General features: G+C 35.0%; 1 protein-coding gene across 24 annotated transcripts in view; it reads left to right on the forward strand.

Annotated features, from left to right (window-relative positions):
- The window catches only part of PTPN13 (protein tyrosine phosphatase non-receptor type 13), a 220,847-nt gene that overhangs the window by 69,190 nt on the left and 139,413 nt on the right, over nt 1-12,244 (forward strand). For all 24 annotated transcript variants that reach the window (XM_011532165.3, NM_080685.3, XM_017008511.3 and 21 more), the window contains one exon: nt 8,861-9,039. In XM_011532165.3, coding sequence (XP_011530467.1) covers nt 8,861-9,039 — 179 coding nt within the window. The remainder of the gene's footprint in view (nt 1-8,860; nt 9,040-12,244) is intronic.

Here is a 12,244-nt window from a genome sequence, read left to right on the forward strand (position 1 = left end):
ATGAAGGTCTTATGACCTATTTCAGAGGAAAAGGGTGGGAGAAGGTCAGAGAGTGACCTTCCTGCTTCCGTGGTTTTCTCAAATACCAAGGTGCCATAATTATGGGGCAGCATGTTCTGAACCCCATCAGTGGATAAGGCAATTTATTTCTAAATGTCAGTGGCAGTCTCAAATTGGTGCTCTTTAATCAGCTTCCATATTATAAATAGAGAAGAGCTATTTAGGTCTCATTTGTAGTTGGAAATTACTGATAGTTATTCTGCCTTTCTAATAAAATAATGTAATTATAATTTGGATAAAATAGTTACTTGTAACACTTTTTGGCTAGCTGTATCTCCTGTAAAATGCCTTACTTACAGCTTTGTAAGCTGTAAAACAAACAAAAAGCATCAGGAAAGGATATAAAGTCATACATACCTCATTTTATGTACTTAATACCAGTTAATTGACATATAATTGGAGCAAGTACAAGATCAAGAAGCAACTTAATTAGTGATACCATTTTAATGTCCCTAATGAGAGCAGTGGTTTTCATTTGTGTGTAGGATAGGTTGGTACACATATTGGAATCTCCAGGAAACTTTTTAAAAATACTGTGTAGATTCCTGTACTCTGTCTCCAGAATTCACACCAAAGTCCTCAGTGGATCAGGAAACAGAAAGCCTGCGTAATTTCTTAATTACCTTAAACTCCCAAAGTCAGACATTGTAAATAAGTTTGTTTCAGTATTCAAATAAGCCAAGCTGACTCTTATCTTAAATCATACTTGAAAATGTAACTAAAAGAGATTAGAGAATAAAGATCAAGAGTATTTTCTGGGTGAATAATTTATACAGTTTCTGGTATCTGAAAGTTGAAAGAAAACTTTGCTTTTCTTGATAGTGGAACTTCAAAATTTTTGTGTGTGTGTGGTCAGCAAAGTCTAAATTAGTAAGTTATTCTCAAGCAGGGCAGAAAGGCAACTTTAAAAGGTTGTGGACCTGTGGTATAGATTTTAAATGGGAAACAAATTCTTTTTCTTGCAAATATTTCAATTAGATAATTCTAATGGCATTGTACCTGATCTTTAGAGAAATTATAGTTTGTATCCTTAAACCACTTTTATTGTAGAAGAAATATGTGAAAACAGAGTTACAAAAACTTTTTTTCAGTATTTTGGCATGTAATTTTGGGAGATACAGTTTTTATTGATGGTAAGCATAAAGCAGTTGGTGGAAAAGGTGGAAGTGAAAGGCAAATCAAAGAGGAAGAACATAGTATTTCAAAGGAATAAAGTGAGCAGCTCCTCAGCACATTATTAGGAAGGAGGAATGAAAGGAACTGCTACTATTTCTTTCATGCTACTTGAATCAGGTGGCCAAGAAATCAAGAGACCTGCTTCCCTCTATCCACGTTGTCCCATCACTTAAGCCTTGTTACTTTTAATAATAACCAATTTGGTTTTACTAATATAGTGGCCAAGAAATCAAGAGACCTGCTTCCCTCTATCCACGTTGTCCCATCACTTAAGCCTTGTTACTTTTAATAATAACCAATTTGGTTTTACTAATATAGATTGTCTGTATATCACTTGTTTCATTAGTGTTTTGTTGCCAAGTAGCATAGTTCTGGAAGTACATAACAAAACACAACTACTGGAAGCCTAATTGATCAGTAGCCATACCAGCATTCCAGTGGTTGTGGTTTGAGCAAGCAGCTTGCATGTGTTTAGTCATTTTAAAAAGAGAGAAAATGTGTGTGTTTGTGTGGCTAATGTCATCATTAAGAAATAAAAATATCTTTTATCTCCTATTCATAAAACAGACCAATTTGGAGTAACATGTTTGCATGATTTCATGTTATTAGAATATTGCAACTTGTATTACAAATAAAAATTTCTAAAACTATATGCTGATACTGTACTGATCATGTGCATTCAAATAAATGTCTTCATTTAATAAGTCATGTTTTACCTAAAGTTAATGACTATGTATAGTAAAACACCAATTTGACAAATGTAGTTACTCAATAAGTACTAATTGGTTTGATCGTCAAATCTTAAAGCAATTGTTCTAAGTTGAGGATCTGTGCTAACTAGGAATATCATGTAATAAGTAATAAATAGACTACTTACAAAAAGGATATTCCCCAAGAAATTAATTAAAGAACAAATTGATATTTTAGGATACTTTGTACCTTAAATCATTTGTATTTCTAATATTTTTTTCTACGTAAAAGATGCCAAAAAATTTCCCAAAGATCTAGAATAGAACGGTTTGAGAATTAGATCTATTATTCTGGAACTACAGTACTTGTCATGGATGATATGCTCTTTGTCTTCTGTGGGGGGAAAATGCTAAGTAGGTGATTGAGGAAAAATTCAAGGAGTGACTTTTCTTAGACATGTAGTCTACATCTGGTATCTCTGAGAAAAGGTTTATTAGATAATAATAGTCACCACTTTTATATGGCACTTACTGCTGTATGCCAGGAACCGTTCTAAGTCTTTAGTTTTGGTTTTTGTTTTTTTCTTTAATCCTCACAGCAGCCTTACCTATGATGTAACAATGATTTTTATAAATAAGGAAATGCAGGCACAGAGGGGCTAAATAACTCACTGAAGATCACTGTATAAACCATAAATATCAAACTTGGGATTTGAACCCAGGGATTCTGGCTTACACTATACTGTCTCTCAGTAAAATGAGACTACATACTAAATTACTGAAGTCAGCTACTATAAAAAGAATGAAATGAAGCTGACAAGTTTCTCTGATATTGAAGCAGCGTCATTGTCTGGGGTAAATACCCGAGGTTCGTAGACTTGCATTAAGGACAGGGACACACATAAGGAGTGAGTTTAGGAACAGAGGTTTTAATAGGCAAAGGAAAGAGAAAGAACAGCTCTCTCTTCTCTCTCTTCTCTCTCTTCTCTCTCTCTCTTTAGAAGAGCAGCTTAAAAAGGTTGTGGACCTGTGGTATAGACTTAAAATGGGAAACTAATTTTTGCAAATATTTCAATTAATTATAATGGCATTGTACCTGATCTTTAGGGAAATTATAATTTGTATCCTTAAACCACTTTTATTCTAGGAGAAATATGTGAAAACAGGGTTACAAAAACATTTTCTTTTTTTCTAGAGAGAGAGAAGAAAAAGAGACTCCCGAATTGGAATTTCAGCCCAGAATGGGAGTGTACCAAATTTTGTAGGCAGGCTTGAGGAGGCGATATCTGATTTACATAGGACCCACAGATTGGCTGGACCAGGTGTGATGTTTACATAGCACGTGGTAAAGGGTGGCCACCCCGCCCTAATCTTATTATGCAAATGGACTTTCCACTTGGCTGGCACCATGTTGTCTGCTACTTGCTGTACAGGTGGCTGGCAAAGAGAAGGGAAGATGGAGCCGCCATTTTGAACATGCCTAGTCCCAGGTAACCTTTTCCTATTGGCACAGCTGCCAGTATTCACCTATGCAAGCTTCCAGCTTGCTTGTCCGTCTGCAGCTCAATTGTACGGGCTACTCTCTGTTAGAAAAGAAAATGATTTTGGTACTGCTTTTCATTAAAGGAATACCTTACTGAGGACTTCCTTACTCTCACTATCTGCCTAAATAATTCTTTTTAAACTCCTATATCAGTATCTTTCCAAATCTTCTAGGTGAGTTTAGGGATTTGGATGATTAGCAAGATCTGACCAACTACCACCAGAATATAAATTCTTGAGAACCAAAAGTTCATAGGAGTTTAGTAAATGATGTTGCATGATTATCTATACCAAGAAAACTTAAATGTAAAATGTCTTTAAAGAGACTATGATTATCAATTTACATTATTGTAGATATCAATTTCAATCATTTACACAATTTTATTTTCAATAAGGGATTGCTGTTTTATCCTTTATGGTATCAGAGAAACAAGTTTTTTTTTTAAGTAGTAACAAAACTTTTGAGGAATTAATACAGCTTTATTTTGTAATCAACTTCTAGCATATACTACAATTTCCAGTGAACCTTAAATAATTTATGACAAAACTATCAAGAAAATGTTAAAATGTAGGGGAACTATTCTGAACCATTTATTTTCTATTTGTGCATTGTTATACCAGATTATTGATTTAACAATGTATGTATTGTTATGAACATATGGACTGAATTTTTTAGGGAATTCCATATTATAGAGGGACTTTGTCAAATCCTTCAGAGTTTGGAACAGCGGCCTCTGCATACATTTTTGCCAGACACCCTAATAGAACGTATAAAATAGGAAGACTACAATTTCTTGTGCCTGAATATGCAAAGGGATTTTTCAGATCAAAATCATGTCATTGTTGTTCTAAGTCTCAAAATGGTTTCCTGATACTTTTGATTAGTGTTTCCTTACCATGTTTGTTGCCTAGTTAAGATTATTTCCCTAATTTTTAATAGTATGTGTGGAAGATGAAAAATAAGGGGACAATCTAAAGGAAATGGCAAGAACCCTCAGGGAAAAAAATGGATGAACATAAAATGATCTTAGTTTAAAAGAACATTGGAAAGAAGCTCTAAGGTGTTTGCATATCAAATTTCTGCTTATCCTTAACCTTGCCTCTAGCTGCTTGAAATTATGTTTAGCAACTTTTCTGTGGAATGTTGGTAAAATCTATAAATATAATCATTAGACTACTGGAATCAATTCATATCAGATTTACTCTTTCATAATAGCATTCTTGAATGCAGTCAACACACAATTAAAACACAGTACACGGAATTATAAGCTTCTAGAATCTCATTTTTAAATATTCTTTTGTTAGCATTTTTTTGAAGGATTTTAAATACATTTGCTTTAAATTTCTTCCTTTTAGTTAGACAAGATGAGTGAATTAAAGACTGATTCTAGCCACAACTCTAAATTCCCTCACTTGCAGGTTTGCATAACCCTTTAAAATTATTTTAAAATATTTTCTGTGGTTTGACTATGTTTTCTCAAGAATCCAGTACGTAAATGTCATGTGTGTGTTTACGGAATTTGACAGCAATGTAGTTTGTTGTCACGGTTTCTTTAACTTTATTACAAGCCATTTAAAAAATCACATTTGAAAATATTTGTGTAATTTCTCATTTTTGTTTTCTTTCTTTTCTTTTTTTCTTGAGACAGAGTCTCACTCTGTCACCCAGGCTGGAGTGCAGTGGTGTGATCTTGGCTTACTGCAACCTCTGCCTCCCAGGTTCAAGTGATTCTCCTGCCTCAGCCTCCCGAGTACCTGGGATTACAGGTACCCACCACCACGCCCAGCTAATTTTTTTTTTTTTTTTTTTTTTTTAGTAGAGACGGGGTTTCTCTATGTTGGCCAGGCTGGTCTTGAACCCCTGACCTCAGGTGATCTGCCCACCTCAGCCTCCCAAAGTGCTGGGATTACAGGCATGAGCCACTGCGCCCAGCCTGTCTGTATTTTTTTAACAAGCAAAAGTATGATCCTCCTTGGTAATTCTGTTTCTCACTGCTCTTCACCATTTCTCTGCCCAAAATTCTTGCTGTTCCTTGTACAAACTTAGTAACTTCCTGACCCACATGCCTTTGCTTTGGCCGTTTCTTCTTTTTTGAATCCTAACCTTAGCCATGGTCAAGTCTTACCTATTAAAGGGCCACATATAAAATAAGAAATTAATTCTTTATTGTAGTTGAAGTAATTTGGCTATCCTCCAAACTCTTTTTTTTCTTAGATACCTAATACTTTCTATCTTGTATTTATGTATGTATTATCTCCCCAATAATACTTTAGACTCTATTAGCAAATGACCTGTAATGTTGGGAAGAAGATGTATATATATATATATATATATATATATATATAGTGCTTAAAATAAAGATATACTTTAAATGTTCAATAAAAGCAAACAACATATTGTATAAAAGTTGAAATATATAGTTTCATCATTACACATTGTACATATGTACCAAAACATTACACTGTACGCTATAAATAAGTATGATTATATGTCCATTAAAAACAAAATACAACTTAATAAAAAAGGAGAGATACATATAGTTCTTAACAGAGTAATTATCAGTTTACTGACCTTGGTTGTCCTGGTAAGTGAATAAATCTCTACATTTTAGAGTGATAAGGAATTATGAATTGCTTTCACCTTCAGCAGTTCTGATTGGTGCTACCATGCTGAGGAGGGGAGAGGGTCAGTCTGTATCCAGGGATGAAAAGGAAGAATGTAGCAAGCCTTTTCTGGTCTGGGTGGATACCAGAATCCACAGTGACAGGACAGGGACAGGGCATAGCATTTAGGCTTCTAGGTGGCATTCAGGCCTCTGTGTTAGCTGTGATCCGCAATCATTTATAAATTTGAAATGGTAACAGTTACACTCAAAATCATAATTTTGCCTCCAAAAGAAAGACAATCTGGAATTAGCCATGACAGTTAGAATCCCAGCTTCCTAACTTAGATTCGGGACTTAGGTACTGGAGAACTGGACAGAAAGTCTAGTAAGTAGAATTAATTAAAATAGTGGGATGGAGATTGGCAGTAGTGAGCGAAAGAAGTGTTAGAGGGATGTTACAGCACCATACATGCATCAGTCCCCAAGAGAAGAGGAAGAATCTGGAAAAAAATAAAAAACCGAGAAGGCGCAGTCTTTGTGTTTGAGTACCCTAGGGCTCAGTCCTTGGTCTTCATTTCTTTTCTATCTTAATTCTTTTTTTTTTTTTTTTTGGTGACCTCATCAAGTCACATGGCTTTAAATACCATCTAGTAGGCCAGCAACTCCCAAAATATATCTGCAGTTGTGATCTTTATCCCACATTTCAGATCAAATTGCCTAATTGACATCCCCATTCAAATGTATAACAGATATCTTAAATGTAATAGGTTCCAAAGTTCTAATTCCTGCCACCACCTCCTAACCCCCACCTCAGCAGCCTGCACTATTTTAGACAATCTCTGTTGATGGCACTCTGTCCTTTTAATTACTCAGATCAAAACTTTGATGTCATCCAGAGTCCTCTTTTTCTGTCACTCCACATCCAGTCTGTCAGGAAATTCTGTTGTCACTACCTCTGAAATATCTTCAGTTACCAGCAGGTTCTCACCACCTCTATTGCCACCACTGTGCTTATTGGCCATCATCATCTCACACCAGATTATTAGTGCGTTGTCTTCCTAATTGGTCTCCTAGTGTTTGTTCCCCTTAGTTGATAATTTGACAGAAATTGATTTTAGATTGTTTTGTGATATCTGTGACATGAAATCTCATGGTTTTGAATGGTATCTTTTTGCAAGGGAAATATTGTTTTGCTTTGTCAGTTCTTTTCCAGCTAGATTGTGTGTTGTCTGTGTATGAAATAACTAAGAGGCGGCTTTTAACAGAAAACTTGTATAGTGACTGTAAAATACGACAACATATACCTAAGATTATGAGCTGTGATGATTCATTGAAATGATTCATTGAAATGTATTTGGCAATAACAATTGTGAGCCAAGTTTCAGAAGTCTGATGTATGATTGGTTAAGGCTTTGAGGACCATTGGTCTATAACACCACTTCAGTGCAACCTAAGATGTGCTGACTGATTAAAAGTTGCATTCAAACACATTTTTCTTCTTTGACACCATTATTAAAGACATGTCTCAGATTCATAAACATGCAGGTTTTTGACCTTCAAAGGAGGAATGACTTTTAGTAGTTTACTTTTTAATCATAAGTCATATTCTGATCATGTAGATGATAGGTAGAAGTTAAAAAGTCAGAATGATTCAGTCCTGATTTAAAAAAAATTCAGTTCTGGTTGTTTTCAGGAAAGTATAGATACTGTATGATAAACTTTTCCATGAACTTCTGTCAATGTCTTATCATTTGACAGAGTGATATCAGTATAATTTATTCAGATTGAATAATGGAATTTCAGTCATAGGCCTTTTGTGATTTTTCTATAGCTATTATCTTGAGTCTATAACCAAGTTCACCTAGCAGTTTTCTTAAAACCTGTATTAACTTACTTTTTATATGAGGGACAAAATAAAGTTTATTCTAATCAGTCTGTTTTGTTGAGCCTAATGTACAGCTTTACTTCTAGGTGGAGGCCTACTGGTGTCTAGGGAATGTATTTGTGTTAATACTCTTAGGTATGAGCTCTTAGGCATCTATACAGCCAAGCATTAAAACAAAAAGTTAAGGGACCTCATTGATCACATTTGGTAGTACAAAACAAGCTGCCTGAAATGCTAGTGAAATAATGAACAAATGTAAATAAGATAAAATCTAAATTCAAGCAAAATATATACTTCGACTCAAGACATTTCATTGTAGTTAGAAACCTTGTGAATGCCTAACAGGAATTTTCAAAGGAATTGATTTCTATCCATTTCAGAACACTATAGTCTAAATCGGAATCTTAACTTGGGATCTATAAATGGGTTATAAGTAGATCCATAAAACTTCAGAATTTATACAGAGCTTTATATTTATGGGCAATGTCCTTGAGAGAGAAACCACACCTTTCACCAATTTCTTAAAGGAATGCATAATTCAAAAAACATTAAAGAGCTACTAATCCTTATCCATATCTATATGTCACGTTGATAAAACATTTGAACCAAGTTTAATTCTTAAGAACAATGAAAGGGCTCTATTTCTAGTTTCTAGGATCTACCATCCAGATTTTGAAAGATTAAGCCAAATCAAGGCATTGTTGTTAATAATGCTACCTGTTGTATTTGTATGAAACCCAATCTTTTTGTAGCATGTTGATTTGGTATATGTTAACTACTTATTAACATCTATACAAATAGGCTGCATTATCCATTGAAGTGATTGCTGTTTCCTGTGATTATAATTTTAAGCAATTTTCTTCTTTTTTTTTATTTTTTATTTTGGTGCAATTACAAACCAGTAAGCCTAGCTGATCCTGCTGCCCTTGGCTTCATCATTTCTCCATGGTCTCTGCTGTTGCTGCCATCTGGTAGTGTGTCATTTACAGATGAAAATATTTCCAATCAGGATCTTCGAGCATTCACTGCACCAGAGGTTCTTCAAAATCAGTCACTAACTTCTCTCTCAGATGTTGAAAAGGTAACTGTTAAATTTTTTTGTTTGTTTTTTTATTTGGGTGGGGATAGGTCAAATAAAGACAATGGGCTACCATGTTTCAACCCTCTGAAAAATCTATTGAGTTTTAAATGACCGTGTATTCCAAGAAGTTCAGTTATTTTATTTAAGAATCCAAAATAGTTTTATAAAGATTTATGGATCTGAGAAATATATGAAAAAAATTAACCATTAGAAGCACATGTTTACAAATACTTATTAAATACCTGCTTTGTATAAAACACCGTGCCTGAGGAAGATATAGAAATAACTGGAAAGTTGACCCTGATTAACATGTACAGAACAATCTGTAACAGCAATCCTCATCCTTTTTGGCACCAGGGACTGGTTTCATGGAAGACAGTTTTTCCAAGGATGGGGTGGTGGGGGAATGGTTTTAGCAAGAAACTGTTCCACTCAGATCATCAGGCATTAGATTCTCATAAGAAGCATGCAGCCTCAGTCCCTCACATGTGCAGTTCATAATAGGATTCGCATTCCTATGAGAATCTAATGCCAACATTGATCTGACAGGAGGCAGAGCTCAGGTGGTAACGTTCACTTGCCTACTGCTCACTTCCTGCTGTGCAGCCTGCTTCCTAATAGGCCATGGGACTGGTATGGGGCTGGAGGTGGGGGTTGGGGACCCCGATCTCTAATATATGGCAGGATGAAATAAATGCTATGGAGAGTGATAGTATTTTGAGAATGTACAAGATGAGCAATTAATTTTTAGTGTAGAATGATATCACAGAGAAGAGGTAGCTATTTGTGTTAGGCTATGAAGAATGAATAGACTTCAGATAAATAAAAATAGGTAGAAAGGGCATTCTACTCAGAGTAATTGGTATGGGTAATGACAAGAGGTAAGAAATTGTCCACTGTGATTGGGGAATGGTTGGTTAGACTGGCTAGGCTAGAATATTACTACCTAGAGGGATGTGGTTAAAGGAAGGAAGAAAGGCTCCAGGTCAGAAGGAGGATGATTTTTGAATGCCAGAACTTGAGGCTTTCTTCTTAGGCAGTGGGGATCTATCATATTTTTAGGAGCATGACTGATGTAATTTGTGATTTTGGAGGTTAAATTTGACAAAAGTAGATAACTATGGGAGAAGGAAGATTTTGTGAGTCTCTAATTGGGGAGTTGTTGTTGTTTTGTTTTGTTTTGAGACGGAGTCTCGTTTCTTTGCCCAGGCTGGAGTGCAGTAGCATAATCTCGGCTTACTGCAACCTCTGCCTCCTGGGTTCAAGCAATTCTCCTGCCTCAGACTCCCAAGTAGCTGGATTACGGGCACATGCCAGCACACCTCGCTAATTTTTGTATTTTTAGTAGAGATGGGGTTTCACCATGCTGGCTAGGCTGGTCTTGAACTCCTGACCTCAAGTGATCCGCCTGCCTCGGCCTCCCAAAGTGCTGGGATTACAAGTGTGAGCCGCCGTGCCTGGCCAGGGAGTTTTAATACTCTGTGGAAAAGAACTGAAAATGGCATAATGATTTATTTGATGGCATAATGAAGAAGTGAAGGTTTAAAATAGAAGTATCCAGTATGACTATAGTGATATAACTGACTTCAGAATAAGACCTAATTTTATTGTCAAAGTTATGAAAAAATTTAGGCATATATATTGTGTTTTATAGCAGACATTAGGTAATTGTGTTATATAGCAGGCTGTGGGTAATTTAGCACTGTGGGGTACTCCAGAGAATTCAGAATTGGCTATGAACATTCTTTCCCATATGTCATTCCACATAAGTGTAAAAATTAACCTAGTAATTTCCTAATAGCAAAATTGTTAAATCAAAAATACATACATGTTAAACTTCAATATACATTGTCTAATTGCCATCTAAAGGAATTCTAATTTCTTTAAACTGACAATCATATTTTTCTTTTCAGAGATTGAATGTGTATGAGTGTGTGTGTGGTGACTAAGCTAAAGGAAGGCATCTTGATTTGAGCCATCAATTATGTATCTGAAAAAAGACTGACAAGAATTGGTAGAGTGAATTCAGATTTAAGATTATCTACCTTTGATATTCCATGAGCTACTTAAGAATTTTGAGAGGTACAAGCAACCATTGAAAGGAGATAGTAGTTATAAGGTAGGGGTAATGCTTAAGGCATTAGACTAAAAAATTTCCCATTACATAAGATGAAGTATTTGAAAAGAATTTTTTGTATGTTACGGAGTAGATATGGTCTTGGTCATTGTTATGTATCATGAAGGTATTCAAGTGTACCAGTAATGTTTTATTAAGCTGGATAGTATACATATATAGTTATTCATTTTTATTATTTAAACAGGATGCAGTCATTCTGTACATTGTACGATTCATTTAATAATATTTTTAAAAAGGGATTCGAACATTGGAAATAGGTATAGTATGTGTGCATAGGTATTATGAATTCTTTCTGTAAGCATTTAAAACCCACAATAAAATTTAAAAAGTGCTTAGTAGAAATTTGGGATGCACAAGTGCTTTTCTGATTTTCTGAGAGGTTTCCCAATTTGCCTTGTGATGTCTAGATCCCCACACAAGTTAACCCTATGTTTAGGAATAACTGTTAGACCACATATTTGGGAAAATGACTAAAGCCACTCTATTATTTTGCCAAGTGTTTAGAAGCAATGTTGGGGATGAAATGGGTGTGGGATTGTTGCCATTATCATGTTAAAGTTGATTTCTTAGTCTGTCTAATTGGAACTTCTAGCTTACCTCATGCCTCAAAATCTTAAGTGTAACTCTAAATACAAAGAAAATCAAGTTTCTTGATCCTATTCATAACATGAAGCAAAGGTCAGAAGAGTAGCCATATATTCTAGCACAGTATTCTGGTTTTAAAATGGCAAGGGCATTTTGAAAATGAGGAAAGTAGCTGCACTTAATTACTTTCATGAGTTAAGAATATGCTATTAACTAGCACTCAATAAATGCTTGCTGTTGATGACATATAAATTTTTTATAATGCTCAGTGACCAGCACTCTTGATACATGACAATGTTCTCTTCATTCAGAGGGACTTACACTTAAAAGTCTTTCATAAACTGTACATGTTTGTATGAAAAAACTCCCTTACTATCAACTATGTAAACAGGCATTTTCATTTATTTACCTTAAAACTTTACTTTTCAAGATAACATCCCTTTAAATGAGTAGACAGGTTTATACAGGCTACACTAAGCTTTT

Source organism: Homo sapiens, chromosome 4, assembly GCF_000001405.40.
Source record: "Homo sapiens chromosome 4, GRCh38.p14 Primary Assembly".
In the NCBI taxonomy this organism is placed as follows: Eukaryota; Metazoa; Chordata; class Mammalia; order Primates; family Hominidae; genus Homo; species Homo sapiens.